This window comes from Homo sapiens, chromosome 8, assembly GCF_000001405.40.
Source record: "Homo sapiens chromosome 8, GRCh38.p14 Primary Assembly".
Classification (NCBI taxonomy): Eukaryota; Metazoa; Chordata; class Mammalia; order Primates; family Hominidae; genus Homo; species Homo sapiens.
Window position 1 is genome coordinate 29,108,883 of NC_000008.11, and position 17,565 is coordinate 29,126,447.

At 43.0% G+C, this 17,565-nt stretch overlaps 1 protein-coding gene across 8 annotated transcripts in view; it reads right to left on the reverse strand.

Annotated features, from left to right (window-relative positions):
• Positions 1-17,565, reverse strand: part of KIF13B (kinesin family member 13B) — a 196,111-nt gene that overhangs the window by 41,605 nt on the left and 136,941 nt on the right. For 6 of the 8 annotated variants that reach the window (XM_011544459.4, XM_011544458.2, XM_011544457.2 and 3 more), the window contains 8 exons: positions 15,142-15,241; positions 14,484-14,610; positions 13,709-13,764; positions 9,986-10,110; positions 7,949-8,125; positions 4,581-4,673; positions 1,036-1,188; positions 489-629 (listed from right to left, as the gene is read on the reverse strand). In XM_011544459.4, coding sequence (XP_011542761.1) covers positions 489-629; positions 1,036-1,188; positions 4,581-4,673; positions 7,949-8,125; positions 9,986-10,110; positions 13,709-13,764; positions 14,484-14,610; positions 15,142-15,241 — 972 coding nt within the window. The remainder of the gene's footprint in view (positions 1-488; positions 630-1,035; positions 1,189-4,580; positions 4,674-7,948; positions 8,126-9,985; positions 10,111-13,708; positions 13,765-14,483; positions 14,611-15,141; positions 15,242-17,565) is intronic. The other 2 variants (XM_005273458.2, NM_015254.4) reach the window with 1 other exon arrangement.

Here is a 17,565-nt window from a genome sequence, read left to right on the forward strand (position 1 = left end):
AATCAAGCGGCCAAGAGCCTATTTCTTTGTGAAGGATTATTCCCATGTTCAATATGCACATAAATTATATATAGGTTTTTAAAAACAACAATAAACTGAAGCCACTGTTATGAAACAACCCCATGTATCTGACGCATGGACACCACCCTGGCTGTCTTGTGAACAACTGGTTTGTGAACCTGGTCCAGACTCCTCCTCAACTTAAAAATAATCTAAGCCCAGAAAATGGCATTGGCTTGCCATAGGCCCGTGGCTAGTTTGGGTTTAGTTCCACAAACATTCACTGAACACCTCAGTCTATGCTAGGCAGTGGTGATCGGAAGATAAGAAACACCTGAAAGGTACTTAACTGCTACTTCCCCTATAATATTAGTAGGAACAGGGGCAGAGGTGCACAGACCCAGTGGGGTGGAGACCAGGGGCCCTGACATCAGTCCTGGCAAGGGAAGGGTTTCGGAGATGGGGTTTGACGGGTGGAGAAGAGTTACCCAAGAAAAGAGGAGAGGAGAGAAGTCCCAGGCACAGCACAGAGCTTGGTTCCACACACTCACTCTGTTCACATTTGGAGAACTGATACTCCTCCTGCTCAACTTTCCTTTTCCTGTTAACTGTTCCTTCACTGCAACTTCCTGTGAATCAGAAAACATACAGAGGAAAAAGACATGTAAGAGACACACTGCAAAAGCAACACCATGTACAGCAGACTTGCAACCCCCATCTATACAGACATTCCTAGCTATTTAAACAATGCTGTTACGTGATTATTACGTACTGCATGCCTGTATCAAAACAGCACATGAGCTCCATAAATACATACATCTACTATGTACCCATAAACAGACTTTTAAAATTAAATAAAGGCTGTTACTTTGTAAGACAGAATGACCCAATTACAATCACTCTGGATTATTCAAAGTTCATTAGAGTGAACTCTTCAAATGTTAGGTGCAACAACACTGTGAATTACAGAGTCAAACACAGACTCAGCCTGCATCAGGGCCTCTGCTGCCCGCCCTATCCATGCGGTTGGCTAACCTGGCGCAGACGATCTAAAGTCAGGAGGTTTTCTACAGCCAGCACGCTCCTGAGGTACTTTTCAATATAAGCCTCCGAGTCAGCAGAAGCTGGGTTTTCAACATTGGCTGCCATTCTTGCTAATGCTTCCCGTTCTTCCACTCCCTGGGCATCCTGAGCAGTGGAAAGTTATACATTATAAAAGCTTCTTGATGTACACACACACACGTACACGCGTGCACACACAGACACACAGAACGTATTCCAAAATTCCATTTTAAAGTCAGCTTTGGAACGCCAAAGCATTTTTCCAAGGAAATAATGAAAAGGTGATTAGGTGACTAGGTCCACTTGAAAGGCTGGTTAATTTAAACACAGCACAGCTGAAACACAGCGCATTCTCAACAAAACTGTTCTCTACTACATTCCCACTACAAAAAACCCATGACTGGTTAGAAAGGATTTTGTCGACTAGCCAGAAATGTAACCACCGTAAAAACAATTCAGGAACATTACCCCCGCCCTGGAACTCCTGAGGGACAGAGAAAGGGAAGAGGGGCTGGGGTGACTGCTACACAGCGTAGGAATCAAACTGCCTCCCAGGGAGGAGGCCCGGAAGGGAGAAGATAGTGGACATAGGGTTTCAGCGCCTGCCACCAAGCAGCCCAGGGTAGCTGACATATTCAGAACATGGCAGCTTCTAGAATTGGTTCAATCTTCTGCTCGAGTGGCAGTGGCCAAAGGCCTGGAGCCGACCAAGGAGAGGTTATCTAGGTAAGTTCTCCTACACTGAGCTTTCTGGTATAGCCCATCCCCAATCCTGGGATGTGAGCTGGCTGTGCATACAAATGGGAGGTGCACAGTCAGAAAGAGGCTTTATTAATGTATTTAGTTATTTCAAGCAAAGTGGGCTCTTAACAAATTACTGTTCTCAGGAAAAATCAGATACTTTATTCACTTGTAAATTTCTTATAATAATGCCAAAACTACAAAATGTATAACCATATGCCACTGCATCTTAAATGCCATCAACTGTAAGACAAAATATTTTAAACAAGATTGAGGGGAAAACAAACTCTGTTAATTTTAAGATACCATCAATTATAAGACACATTCTACTTCAAAGATACTTTTAAAAATTTAAATGAGTCTTAGAACAGATAAAATGTGGGAGGATTTGTAAGACGGCTTAAGTTCACAAAAACTTTTGTCTTGTACAGTAATTCATCTGAGCCTTGTAATAACCATGAAAAGAAGGAATCATCCTCATTTCCTAGATGACAAGAGGAAGACCACACAATTAGCAAGAGTCAAAACTAGAACTTAGGTCTCCCGTCTCCTGGTAGGGTATTCTTTTCACCCCAACACAGAATACTTTCAGGGTCTGGAGGGAACAGATATTATCCTAATTTTATAAGGAGAAAGAAATTGTCTCTGGCCTGGGCCACTTCTTTTGGCCATGATGCCCTAATGGCTTCTGTGATACAGAACCCAAGCAACTTTTGGGGCTTTTTCATGATGAAACTTGCCTATTAAGGGATCTTTTTATTTTGTTTTTAGATCTAGTCTTTACACAATCAGCTTTATGTTTCATTTTGCCTTTATCATCAGGATTTGATAATGTGGAAACAATGTTTGCCAGCTTGGATGTTTAGCTAACTAACAGCAAATTCACATGAGGTTATGTTTATCTTCAAGCTGATCCCCCCTATATTTCTTTCCTTTTAAAACCCTATCGCCTGGAGAATAAAAGCACTTTTTTTAAAAGGCATAAGAAACTAAGTGGGAGAGAAGGAAAAGGGAGGGGAAATGGAGAGAGAAAAGGAAGAAATGAAAGCAGTTTCCTACAGCCATCACCGTTTCTCAACTGCATTCAAGCGATTTACAGAGACAAGATCTGAAACAACTGGAAAATATAGAAAATGTTTAGATACACAGAGTAAACAGTAAGTCTCTAGCTAGACATAGATGTATACTTGTTTTAAATCTTACAAACAAGAGTGAATGAAGCACACAGAGCAATCTATTACAGGCCCAAGACCGTGCAACGACTAACTCTGCAAACAGGCTTAATTTTTAAATGTTCTGCAAACTCCAAATTAAATAATTAGATGGTTAATATTTACTATGCAAGTCTAACACTTCAAAGATCCAGGAAAGAACTAGTTACTATCCAACATGACTTGAGAGGCAAAAGCATTTTGCAACACAAGATATCTAAAAGAAAGCCTAAGTACCATGTAATATTTTTCTTTTCCAAAAGCTGATCTCCGGCCAGGCATAGTGGCTCACGCCTGTAATCCCAGCACGGGCGGATCACGAGGTCAGGAGACTGAGAGCATCCTGGCCAACGTGGTGAAATCCCGTCTCTACTTAAAATACAAAAATTAGCTGGGCGTGGTGGCACGTGCCTGTAATCCCAGCTACTAGGGAGGCTGAGGCAGGAGAATCACTTGAACCCGGGAGTCGGAGGTTGCAGTGAGCCAAGATCACACCACTGCACTCCAACCTGGTGACAGAGCGAGACTCAGTCTCAAAAAAAAAAAAAAAAAAAAGCTGATTTCTGTATTAAAATATACACTGTTCACCTATTGTTCAAATACTCAACAGTGTCAGTGGGCAAATCCTAAGCCCTGAAATGACGGGAACTGGTGCTGGTGTTGATGGCATGGTATGAGGGGCGTCTTCTGATGTCTCACACCCCCACTTCTCCAACCCCGAGGAAGTGAAATCTCCACCCCCTTGCCCACATCCCCTCTTTGAGGGTGAGGGTGGGAGAAGGAATTTTCTCTTTTCACAGAGTCCTTCCCTTAGGACCCTCACTTCTCCTGGCCCTGCAAGGGATGCCCCATTTCCCAGCTGTGCTGGCACCTGGGTGAATGAATACATGTCTAATTCACGAATCACCTATCAGGAAGTACAGATAAGCCACATCTTCCATCAAGCTTGTACCAGGGATAAATTTAAGCTCTGCTTCTCTGAATCCTCTGAATATCTCAATTAGTTCAGAAAGAGAAATAATAATAGTACTAATAAAATAATAATCATAGTAACAACGATAGTAGCAATAACATGTTCTCTAGCACACGCACAACAATTGGTACACATTGTCTCATTTGATCCTTAAAAACACTTTGTGCAAAGATATTACTAACCCCATTTGACAAGAAAAAAAAAATATGGGCTCAGAGTAATTTACGCAAGTTCACTCTGCTAATAAGTGACAGAAACAAGATTTCTGTTTGACTTCAGGATCCAACTGGAATCTCTATGCTACGCTGCCTCCCTTCCTGGGTACAATATGTTTCTCTTCTGTCACCTTCTGCGTAAGAAGGTGTTGATTTGCTTTTCAAAAGAAAGTTCTTCAACAAAATACTAAAACTAGAACTTTTAAAGCCACAAGTACATTTTACTATGAATTGATATTAGAAAATTCCTCTAAAAATCTATACCTTCCCTAAACATACACTTTCACTTCATATGTATGTCATGGGTAGGTCACTTTTCAGGGAGTTGGCTCTTTTTAAGTGTTTATTTTTAGTAAATTTAAATTGTATATCCTTCACCTCTGGAATATTGGAGACAATTTCAAAAGTCACTCCACAGCCAGGAATAGAACTTCGATGAGACATCTTTTTTAGGAGACTCTGTGCAAAACCCTAGAGAAAAACAAAATAGAAGATATGGTTTCCCACCTGAAAAACTGAGTTTACATTAACAAAAGACAGCATGGAAAATACTGGTTCATTCTAACCAAAAGAAAACAGAGCAGGTTTCCAACATAAGCAAGTGAAATCACCAAGTACGGTTTCTTCATCGTTGTCCTATGGTACGAAACCAACTTATTAGATGCCCACCATGTATGACAGGTCCTACACCCAACATAGGAAAAGTATACACCACCAAGTCTGTAAACTGGCAGTAGGCATCTGGATGAACGGTGCTTCAATGCTACAGAAATATAAGCTTGTTGACTTCCATACAATAAAATGACCTTCTAACTAAGATGGAAGCAACGACTGGTGATGCTTACACTTTTTTTCTCCCCAGCACGATGGACATCTCGTACCATGAATATTGACAAGTCCGGGCATTAAATTCTTGACCAAAGCAAGATCGTTATGAGGAATGATTTAAGAGTGCACGGTCATTGTTTATGCTGACTGCGCTCTTTGCACAGTTAGGAATTGAACTGTTGAATTAATGCATAGATGACTCATTTCAAGATGCTGTTAAGACTGAACACCCTGCAGAGGTTGAAGAGAGCAGGGATGAGAGCAGAATACCATCAGGGAACAAAGGTAAAGGGGAGAGCACATGAAATGGGCACCGAGCTTTCACCCCATGCAACAGGAATGGCAGAAACATGTGAAGCCCCCAAGAAAAGAGCAAAGCCAAGCTATTTGGTCTTAGACATACATCATTTCACAAACCTACCTAATGATGATTTATTTCATATTCAATGATCTTTACATTTTTAAAAGAATATAGCATCTCAGAATGCAGAGAGACCATTTATGTCATTAATTCTCTCCCTTAACTTTAGCCTTGCAGTGCTGAGCCAAGGCTAATTACACAAGTCAAGGTATAGAGATCACTGTCCTTAGGGGTGGTGAAGGGAGATGTAGATGCTACTATTATCCTACCTTTTGGTTTTCCATTTGTATGGAATTAGTGAAGCTGACGTGTGTGTATTAGGGTCATGTGGAAGGTCCTATTCTTGTTATAAAGAAGAGAGCCTTCCACATGACGATTCTTAGGAATGAAATATCTGAAATTGAGAGAGAAAATGGCATGCCTTAAAAATACTTCCACATCATTTCAACCAGGAAAAAGAAAAATATGGCAACCTATTGTCCCTACAATAGAAACAAAAACCAAGCAACATGCGGCGACTATACAATGTACCTTTTCTGTCAAGGACCCTGTAGGGCCGGTGGTTGTGCCAGGTCAGTCCCAGGGCCTGGCAACCAGGATGTCTAATTCCGAAATGGAAAATCGCTCTTCAAAATGCTCCTCATGAGCAGTGTGTCTTTTTCAAACCCTCACAGACTCATGAGAAAAGGAAGACAGAGAGAGTGAATGGGTGCATACCGTATACATCTATAGCTAACCCCGTGACCTGGATTTTATTGATGTTGGATTGCCAAGCTAAAGAGCTGCAATTTTAATGGCATTACCGCCAGTCTTCATTTCAAAGATTGATATCAGTGTGACATTTAGAACTAAAGATTAATTTTTAGGGGTGGAGATTACATCTAGGAGTCTGTCAACCATGACTGTGCTCTTTTAAATGAAAAGATTTTCATCTGTACTGGTTTTAGTCAGTGTATTGAGAATGCCTCAAAAAAGGGAGATAAGACAGTTAAAAGGATCCCCAGACGCAATCTCCCAAATCTTTATATTTGCAAAACCAGTAAAAAAAAAGAATTTTTTTTTTTTTTTTTGAGACAGAGTTTCACTCTTGTTGCCCAGGCTGGAGTGCAACGGTGCAATCTTGGCTCACCGCAACCTCCGCCTCCCGGGTTTAAGCAATTCTCTTGCCTCAGCCTCCTGAGTAGCTGAGATTGCAGGCACCCACCACCACACCCAGCTAATTTTGTAGTTTTAGTAGAGACAGGGTTTCTCCATGTTGGTCAGGCTGGTCTCAAACTCCCGACCTCAGGTGAGCCACCTGCCTCGGCCTCCCAAAGTGTTGGGATTACAGGCATAAGCCACCACACCTGGCCTTAAATTCTTACCTAGAAGTTTTGTACTAAACCCCTTCATATGGCACATGGACCTTCATAATCCAGCTGCAACTATGTGAGAGCCATGCTCCTTGGCACAGGCAGGACCCCCAGCACATGGAGCTCCTCGCGGTCCCCGATCCTGCCCCGTCCTGCCCTGCCCTCCCCACTCTCTCTGCATGTGTATTTCCTCCTGTCCACGGAACTGCATCTCCTCCTACTATGCCTGGCCAATGCCCCTCCTCTCTAAGTCCCAGTTCAAACGCTGCCCTCCTCTCTGAAGCGCCCCCACCACCCCGACTCCCTGGGGCTGAATTCTTCCTTCTCTTACCTGCATTCTCACCACAAGTGATGAGGACCTGCACCACGTGCTCAGCTCAGGCCGAGAGCAGTTGCCTGTTACGTATCTACCTACACAAATCAACTTGGCTCTTTAAGGACACAGACTTCTTTTTGTTTCTTTTTTGAGATGCATCGCCCAGACTGGACTCAAACTCCTAGGCTCAAGTAATCCTGCTGCCTCAGCCTCCTGAGTTACTGGGAGAGCAGGCGTGCGCCACTGCACTGGGCTCATTTCTTATTCACCTTTTTATCCCAAAGCCAAATATACAAATCAAAGACTGCAAGAGGTAAAAGGTCTGGAACGCACCCTGGCAGCATGGCGAGACCCCGTCTCCATAAGGAATACAAAAAATTAGCCGGATGTGGTGGCACACGTCTGTGGTCCCAGCTACCGGGGAGGCTGAGATGGAAGGATCACCTGAGCCCAGGAGACGATGGCTGCAGTGAGCTATGATCGCATCACTGTACTCCAGCCTGAGCAACAGAGCAAGACTCTATCTTAAAAAAAAAAGTCTGGAAAGAGCAGAGTAAGAGGGAAACTCCTCATTTGACAGGGCCCAGATGAAAAGGCAACAACCAAACCACAGACCTTGCCCTTGACAGGGTTGTGTGGTACCCAAAAGAATAACCATAATTTGTGAATCTGCCCTAAGAAAGATTCAGTGTAAAAATACTGTCCAGGAGCAAGTGACACATCTGAGGCTTGAAGCAAGCATGGGTACAGGACAGCAGCAGTCACCTGGAAAAGAAAAGCTCAGTGCTTCCGGGAGCCTGTTTGGACAGAAGGTTAACAGCAAGCACTGCACGGCCCTACCCTCAGGTCGCAACTGTGGTTAGAGTCGTTTCTTCCACTGAAGACTAACCTGGCGGCCGTGAACATTGACACAGATTCTCTTGCGTAACACCAGTTGCATGTCAGCAGGGTGGCTGAGCTGGACCGTCACGCGCACGATCAGGAACAACCGCTCGTCCACGGGCGTGCCCCTGCTGAGCTGAGGGCAGCCATGCACCGCGGAGTCCCAGGAGGCTTCTGCTTTCACCTGGAGAGAAGACAGAGAGGAAACAGGTTTCTCTCTTCTCCAGAAACATGAAAACTCTTTCAAGGAAACCACCTTGGCTCAGGCTGAAAGGGCACATGCCAGTCACCAGCAAAGTTCTACTATGACAGCTGCCCTGAAAAGACAATGGAGTGTGACAGTGTGGCCACAATCACCTTAGCCTGAAAAGTATAGAGCATGATGATCCTGGCTGGCTTACTTTTAAAATTTGTATTAAAAAATGCTCAAATGTCAAGAAAAGTTGCAAAAATTCAGTCGAGTGATTTGTACCCCTTTCATCCCGACGCACCAACTGCTACCATTTGGCCACTTTTGCTTCTCTTTCTCACAACTCACACACACACATTATTACTTTTGCTAAACCACTTTCAAGTAAGTTGAAAGTAATATCTAGGAAATTTAACAGGAATACACTATTATTTAATATAAAATCCCTTATTCAAATTTTTCAATTTCCCCATCCCGGAACCACACACTGCCTTTAGTTGTCACGTTTCTCTAGTCTACTCTAATCTGCAATAGCTCCTTGGCCCTTCCTTGTCACGCTTGACCCTGCTGAACTGGAAGGGTGCCGGCCCACTATTCTACAGAATGCATAGCCGCTGGGTGTGTCGGACTGACTCCTCACTGTCAAGACTCAAGTTTCGCTTCTTAGGGACACTATTAAGTAATAATGTGTCCTCAAATATCACATATCAGCTTTCCTTCCTGAATATATTTCATAATTTTTCAAACATACTCAAAATTAGAAAATAAACTCCCGTGAGATACCCATCACTCAGATTCAACCATGAAAATCAAGATGTCACCACACTGCTTTCACCTATTCTTTTCCTTTTTAATAAATCCTGGCCAGGCGCGGTGGCTCATGTCTGTCATCCCAGCACTTTGCGAAGCCAAGGCAAGTAGATCACTTGAGGTCAGGAGTTTGAGACCAGCCTGACCAACATGGTGAAACCCCATCTCTACTAAAAATACAAAAATTAGCCAGGTGTGATGGCATGTGCCTGTACTCACAGCTACTTGGGATATTGAGGCAAGAGGATCACTTGAACCCAGGAGGCAGAGATTGCAGTGAGCTGAGATCGCACCATTGCGCTCCAGCCTGGGCAACAGAGCAAGACTCCATCTCAATAAAAAAAAAATTAAAAAGTCCTTACAAAATGATTTCAAAGCAAATCCCAGCCAGGCACAGTGGCTCACACCTGTAATCCCAGCACTTTGGGAGGCCAAGGCAGGCGATCACTTCCGGTCAGGAGTTGAAGACCAGCTTGGCCAACATGGTGAAACCCCATCTCTACTAAAAAAAAAAAAAAAAAATTAGCCAGGCATGGTGGCGCACACTTATAATCCCAGCTGCTCGGGAGGCTGAGGCAGGAGAATCACTTGAACCCGGGAGGCAGAGGCTGCAGTGAGCCAAGATCCTGCCACTGTACTCCAGCCTGGGTGACAGAGCAAGACTCCATCTAAAAACAAAAACAAAACAAAAAAATCCCAAAGCAAATCCCAAACCTGGTGCCATTTTACCTCCACGCACTTCCGCAGCCCCTGCTTCCATCTCTCACTGGTTGAGGAACAGAGAGAGCCTCAAGCTCCTGACCGCTGCTGATCTGAACTGCTCACACAAGCTCAGTACAAGTTACCAGGAAAGGAAGGAAAAGGTGAATGGATGTAATATGATGTTCAAGCTCCATTCTTCTGGAAGTCATGATGAAAGGTTTTGCTTTATGTATTTTGAGAAATGTAAAGTACTGGCATGATTGCCTTATTGTTTCAAAAAGCTCGAGGAGAGGTTAAGGAAACCACTTTTCATCTGACCATCCCAAGTTAGGCTTTCCTTACCTCCCCATCATGCTGCTTCACAATCTGCAATTCAAAGAACTCCTCTTCTTCTTCCCCAGTCAAGGTCGCATCCCATCCACCAGCTTCTGGGTCATCAAGATTATCCTGAGAGCTGAAATCATCAGCTAAAAGCAAAGAAGTTCCATTAAATACTGAGATCATTTTCAAGGATAACCCCTACCAGCTAAATTTCAATGTGATTATTACAATTCTTCTGCTTCAAATTTCATTTGCTTTTTGCTCTGAAATCTTACATGACACTGAAGATGACCACTTAAAAGTTCACAGATCTTCAAGATAAGAAAGTGCCTCAAAAAATGATCTCATCCAATCTGCTACACTTATGCCTTATTTTATAGGGAAGGCAAATGAAACCAAGATACCTAAGAGGTTACCCAAGGTCATCTCATCAATGTCAGTGACCGGGTTATAACACAAATTCCGTACCATTTAGTGCACTGAAGGGTCAGAAACGAGCAAGGGTGATTCCAGGCACCTGACAGCAACATTCACCAGAAGGTTCCACTGGCTGCATGGGCTGGAAATGGAAGGACTGCACCATGGCCCCCTGGTTCCTCAGGCCCGAGCCTGGCCCTCCCCACTCCCCTTCACCTGGAGCTCGTGGGCAGACATCCAAAGTTCCTTTTCTAGGAGGTGGGCATGGGGGGACCGAGAACATGTACCATGCTGACCAAAGTCCTGATGATCCCCTCAAATGCCCAGACTAACACGTCTTCCTTAAGCTTATTGTCTTTCACTTTCTTATGCATATGCCTGCCTGCACCCAAATACAAGCACCTCACCTACGTAGGAAGCCTAACAGAAGAACAGGCCAGAATCACCCTCAGGCGCCAAGTTCAGAACACCACAGCAGGATAAGGACTTGTGGCAAACATTTAAAAACAAACACCTTCCACCCCATCAAGCAAACAGACAGTGGCTGTATTATTCGGTATTATTCTCTAACTCTATGCATAGAAAAATCTTCCATTTAAATAAGCTAAGTGGCAGGAGATCCTAAATGCCTCAGAGACTGCATCTCGCTGTCAGCTAGGTGGAAGAAAACCACGGAGGACATCCACACTCATCTATTAAGGAGAGTTAACGTTAATACATAGTTCTGCAGATGTGTTAGGAATTTAACTGCTGACTTCTAACTTATTTTTAGATCCTTAATCTACTCTTCCATTTTCTATTTTCCCTCCTACAGGCAGAACTCCTAGTGGCAGAGTATATGTAAAACGTATCCAGGCCCAAAATATTTTACATGGTGGTGAGTGGGAAACAGAAAAATGACAGTTTTTTTTTTTTTTTTTTTTTTTTTATTATACTCTAAGTTTTAGGGTACATGTGCACATTGTGCAGGTTAGTTACATATGTATACATGTGCCATGCTGGTGCGCTGCACCCACTAACGTGTCATCTAGCATTAGGTATATCTCCCAATGCTATCCCTCCCCCCTCCCCCGACCCCACCACAGTCCCCAGAGTGTGATATTCCCCTTCCTGTGTCCATGTGATCTCATTGTTCAATTCCCACCTATGAGTGAGAATATGCGGTGTTTGGTTTTTTGTTCTTGCGATAGTTTACTGAGAATGATGGTTTCCAATTTCATCCATGTCCCTACAAAGGACATGAACTCATCATTTTTTATGGCTGCATAGTATTCCATGGTGTATATGTGCCACATTTTCTTAATCCAGTCTATCATTGTTGGACATTTGGGTTGGTTCCAAGTCTTTGCTATTGTGAATAGTGCCGCAATAAACATACGTGTGCATGTGTCTTTATAGCAGCATGATTTATACTCATTTGGGTATATACCCAGTAATGGGATGGCTGGGTCAAATGGTATTTCTAGTTCTAGATCCCTGAGGAATCGCCACACTGACTTCCACAATGGTTGAACTAGTTTACAGTCCCACCAACAGTGTAAAAGTGTTCCTATTTCTCCGCATCCTCTCCAGCACCTGTTGTTTCCTGACTTTTTAATGATTGCCATTCTAACTGGTGTGAGATGATATCTCATAGTGGTTTTGATTTGCATTTCTCTGATGGCCAGTGATGATGAGCATTTCTTCATGTGTTTTTTGGCTGCATAAATGTCTTCTTTTGAGAAGTGTCTGTTCATGTCCTTCGCCCACTTTTTGATGGGGTTGTTTGTTTTTTTCTTGTAAATTTGTTTGAGTTCATTGTAGATTCTGGATATTAGCCCTTTGTCAGATGAGTAGGTTGCGAAATCGTGAAAATGGCCATACTGCCCAAGGTAATTTACAGATTCAATGCCATCCCCATCAAGCTACCAATGACTTTCTTCACAGAATTGGAAAAAACTACTTTAAAGTTCATATGGAACCAAAAAAGAGCCCGCATTGCCAAGTCAATCCTAAGCCAAAAGAACAAAGCTGGAGGCATCACACTACCTGACTTCAAACTATACTACAAGGCTACAGTAACCAAAACAGCATGGTACTGGTACCAAAACAGAGATATAGATCAATGGAACAGAACAGAGCCCTCAGAAATAATGCCGCATATCTACAACTATCTGATCTTTGACAAACCTGAGAAAAACAAGCAATGGGGAAAGGATTCCCTATTTAATAAATGGTGCTGGGAAAACTGGCTAGCCATATGTAGAAAGCTGAAACTGGATCCCTTCCTTACACCTTATACAAAAATCAATTCAAGATGGATTAAAGATTTAAACGTTAAACCTAAAACCATAAAAACCCTAGAAGAAAACCTAGGCATTACCATTCAGGACATAGGCGTGGGCAAGGACTTCATGTCCAAAACACCAAAAGCAATGGCAACAAAAGCCAAAATTGACAAATGGGATCTAATTAAACTAAAGAGCTTCTGCACAGCAAAAGAAACTACCATCAGAGTGAACAGGCAACCTACAACATGGGAGAAAATTTTCGCAGTTTTTTTTTTTTAAACAGGTAATACAGGGATGAATGGCACAAGAACTCATAGAAAAAGTGAGATATTTATTAGATAATGCTAAGAAAACACCACAAGAAGGAAACATGCTTCATAAGTATCGCTAGTTATTTGTCCTTTCCAGAGAGAAGTCTTTCCCCAAGAGTTAAAGAAGAAGCCGGGCGCAGTGGCTCACGCCTGTAATCCCAGCACTTTGGGAGGCCAAGGAGGGCGGATCACGAGGTCAGGAGATCGAGACCATCCTGGCTAACATGGTGAAACCCCGTCTCTACTAAAAATACAAAAAATTAGCCGGGCGTGGTGGCACAAGCCTGTAATCCCAGCTACTCAGGAAGCTGAGGCAGGAGAACCGCTTGAACCGGGGAGGTGGAGGTTGCAGTGAGCCGAGATCACACCACTGCACTCCAGCCTGGGTGACAGATCAAGACTCTGTCTCAAAAAATAAATAAATAAATAAATAAATTAGAAAATATTTTTAGTGCAGAAAAACACTGCTACCATCCTAACACCAGGAGAACAGAGCATCCACATGGCACCGTGAGCTGCAGGGATGAGAGGTGAGGAGTATGGTGAAGCACGCCTATTATTGTCATAAACATGAGACTATGACACACCAATCAGTCCGTCTGCAACCAGGAGACATGGACACACGTCAAACTGGCTCTAGCCTTAGGGGGACAGAATTGCCTCACGATGCACTTGGTTGGAATCTACATGTTATGTAGGCACTAAATTTTCAGAGGTAAGCCTTCAGAAAACACCTCCTAACTTACCATTTAAGTCCAGGAATATAACAGGAATGTGTGTCTCCATCCCAGGTACTGGGGTCCTAAAACGGGAAGAACAAATGGCATCTGCCTCAGGTTACTTTCTCAGTGGCATGCACGTAGGAACACAGCCTTAATGGCATTCAGGGCTGTTACAGGGCAAAGCAGTAATAACCCTGGCCCTGATTTTACTCTAATCCAGAATCAGAGAGGCCACAAAGCCTCCACTGTAGCTGCTGCTTCATACCCTGACATTTGAACTTAGCCTTATAAGACACTACCTGTTTGTAGTGAAGTTCTCTTGTTTAAACCTACTTTCTTATAAAATGATATACTTAAGGGCTTCCTCTGGCTAAATTTACTATTTTTAATTTCTATAACGTAGCACAGAACATTTGCTGACAGTACAGTTTAAGCCAGCACCAAAACCAAAATCGCGTGGAGATGCAATTTTCTTATGACCGAACAGTCTTCTAAGGGAATGACCCAAGTAATTAACATATTAACTATTTTCTTAATGCTAAGTGCAGTGGTATTAAATATTGATTTAAGTTCTCAGAAATCTTAATGACTTTGGCCAATAACAACATTATTTAATAAAACAGTTTTAGGCCATAGTTATTCAACTCATGAAAATAATTTAACAGTTCCTTTAATTTAAACAACATTTCCCCCCATGCTATTGACTCTTCCATTAACCGTAGCACACGCAAAATTCAAGCTAAAAGCAAGTGGCTTGGTGAGCGTTCAGACCTCACAAGACGCACCACAGGGTTCATACCATTCTGCTGGGGCCCCTGGAATACCACTGCCAGCAGAGGGGACCATCACCGCGTTCCTCTCCTCAGTTAGGGTCAACCGCATCTCCAGAAGCTGCGCTTCACGGTCAGCATCATCCTCTGTTTTATCTAGAACATCGAGAATGAGGATTCAATGACAAAACTTCACTTGCCATTTATCTTTTTGTCCTGAGTAAAGACTGGATTTGCCTATATTTCAATTATTAGCTCACAAGTGCTCCCCAGTGATAAAAACTAACCCACAGCTAGAGAGGTCAGATGGGCTCCTGCAGAGAGGCCATCTTCAGTTCCTGGGAGGCCTACAGAGGGACCGCACAGGAGTGACTGGTCCAGAGTCAGAGGACTCGAGCCCTTTGGATAAGAAAAGTTACCACCTTCCTTTATGTTATCTTTGACAAACCATGTATGCTTTGTGCACTGTATTTGCTCTTTCTTTGTAGGGGGTGGGAGGAAGACCTCCACCAAGATACGACAGCTGGATAAAGGATATGACATAAACAAAGAGTAACACTCATCTGCTCCTGCCATCCCCATTACTGATGTGTTCATCTGGTTCTTAACTGATGTGGCTACAAAGGGAGAATAATTAATTATGCATTGATTTGCAGGGGAGAAAAATATTCTATTTGTTTTTCCTACCACGTTTACTGACAAGCTTTTGCAATTGTTGATCCAAGTACTCCTGACGTTTTGTTAATGCATTTAGCCATTTTCTACGAAGTCTCTCTAAATCTCGATCCTGGAAGCAAGCAAGGAAAATCATATTCAATGTAATGTCAAGATAATCTATCTGAAACTGATGCTCTATCTTACCTTGCTCTACTATGCCTTGGAAAGGTAAGGTAGTATACAATAATTTCTTTATTGCTACCACCAGTTGACTGCGCCCATCTTTCAAAACAGCTATTTTCAGAATTTAAAGCATTATTTTCTAGAACAGAAAGGGCATTCTCAGGTATCCAGAACCAGTTTTATTTCTAATGGCTTGGGGGTAGAGCTTTAAGCACCTGCAACAAAAATCTTCTAAAAGGTCTCTTTGCTGGATAAAACCGATAAACAGGACTCAATAATCTTCCAATATGGCTGGGCGTGGTGGCTCACACTTGTAATCCCAGCACTTTGGGAGGCTGAGGCAGGTGAATCACTTGAGGACGGGAGTTTGAGGCCAGCCTGGCTAACACAGCGAAACCCTGTCTCTACTCAAAATATAAAAAATTGGCCAGGCGCAGTGGCTCACATCTGTAATGCCAGCACTTTGGGAGGTCAAGGCAGGCAGATAACCTGAGGTCAGGAGTTTGAGACCAGCCTCCCCAACATGGTGAAACCCCATCCCTACTAAAAATACAAAAATTAGCCAGGCGTGGTGGCGGGTACCTGTAATCCCAGCTACTTGGGAGCTGAGGCAGGAGAATCGCTTGAACCCGGGAGGCAGAGGTTGCAATGAGCCGAGACTGTGCCATGGCACTCCAGCCTGGGCAACAAGAACAAAACTCCATCCCAAAAAAAAAAAAAAAAATTAGCTGGGCATGGTGGTGTTCACCTTTCATGCCAACTACTTGGGAGGCTGAGGCAAGAGAATTACTTAAACCTGAGAGGCAGAGGTTGCAATGAGCCAAGATCACTCCACTGCACTATGGTCTGGGTGGTAGAGCAAGACTCTGTCTCCAAAAAACAAAACAAACAAAAAACCACTTTCAATTTATGTACCTTAGAATAATCAGAAGAATCAACTTTTGTAACTTCTGCTTTCTATATGTCAAAACAGGCTCTTGAAGACAACATGTAAATGCTTCTCTCACTTGTTTTTATGCATTTTGTGGGGCAACAGGTAGGGGAAAGAGGGGATAGGGGTTGTCATCAACAGAATAACAACCTACCAGTCAACACCTACATGAATATCAATCTTACCTCATTTCCTTTTCTAATAAGGTTACAAGACTGGGTAGGTCAGTGGAATGCTGCAGATATAGTGTGTCTGGGCTTTACTAGGGCACTTAACCAAATAGCCTATGACATTGTTGTGGACAAGATGGAGAAACGTGCGATGCATCTACTTAAGTGAAATCACAGAGGACTCAAATATCACATCCGAAGAATAGTGATTAATGTCAGCTTGAAAAAAGTCTCTATTGTTGTGCCATAGGACTCTGTATTTAATCCTATCTGATACAGTGTTTTTATCAGTGACTTATAGGAAAGCAGACATTTCTATCAAATTAGAATGATGCAAAACCAGGAAAGTGACTACACGGATGACATAATCAGGCTCCAAAGAGCCCTGACAGTCCTGAACGATGACTAACAGATGAAACTGCACAGAAAGAAACAAAGTCTTGCAGGAGGTTAGGAAAAGAAAACAAAGGAAAAAAAAAAAAAGATTCCAAATGCTGTATGATTCCAGGAAGTAGGGAAGAAAGATCTAGCTTAAAAAATGCAAAATTCAGTCGGGCGCGGTGGCTCATGCCTGTAATCCCAACACTTTGGGAAGCCTAGGCGGGTGGATCACAAGGTCAGGAATTCGGGACCAGCCGGGCCAACATTGTGAAACCCCGTCTCTAGTAAAGATACAAAAAATTAGCTGGGCATGGTGGCGTGCACCTGTAATCCCAGCTACTTGGTAGGCTGGGGCAGGAGGGAAGTTGCAGTGAGCCGAGATGGCGCTATTGCACTCCAGCCTGGGCAACAGGGTGAGACTCTGTCACAAAAAAAAAAACAAAAACAAACAAAAAAATGCAAAACACCTAGTGTTGACTAAAGCTCAGAATGAGACAACTATAATAGGGGCAACGAGTGGGGACTCACTCAGGAGAGAAAATGTCCAGGGAAGAGGATCCAGAGAAACGGATCTTCAGGGAGCCTGGCTGGGGAGCTCCAGGTTTGGAAAAGGATCTCAGTCACGAATGATTTCCCACTCCTAACACACTTTACAGCCTATGAAACAACACTCAATGTTCCCTACTCTGTTTTACTTTAAAACAACAAAAAAATCAGTATGAATTGTTTAATCCTTAAATAACAGTATAGCCAGATCCAGGAATGTGTAATTATATACTTTAATCATGC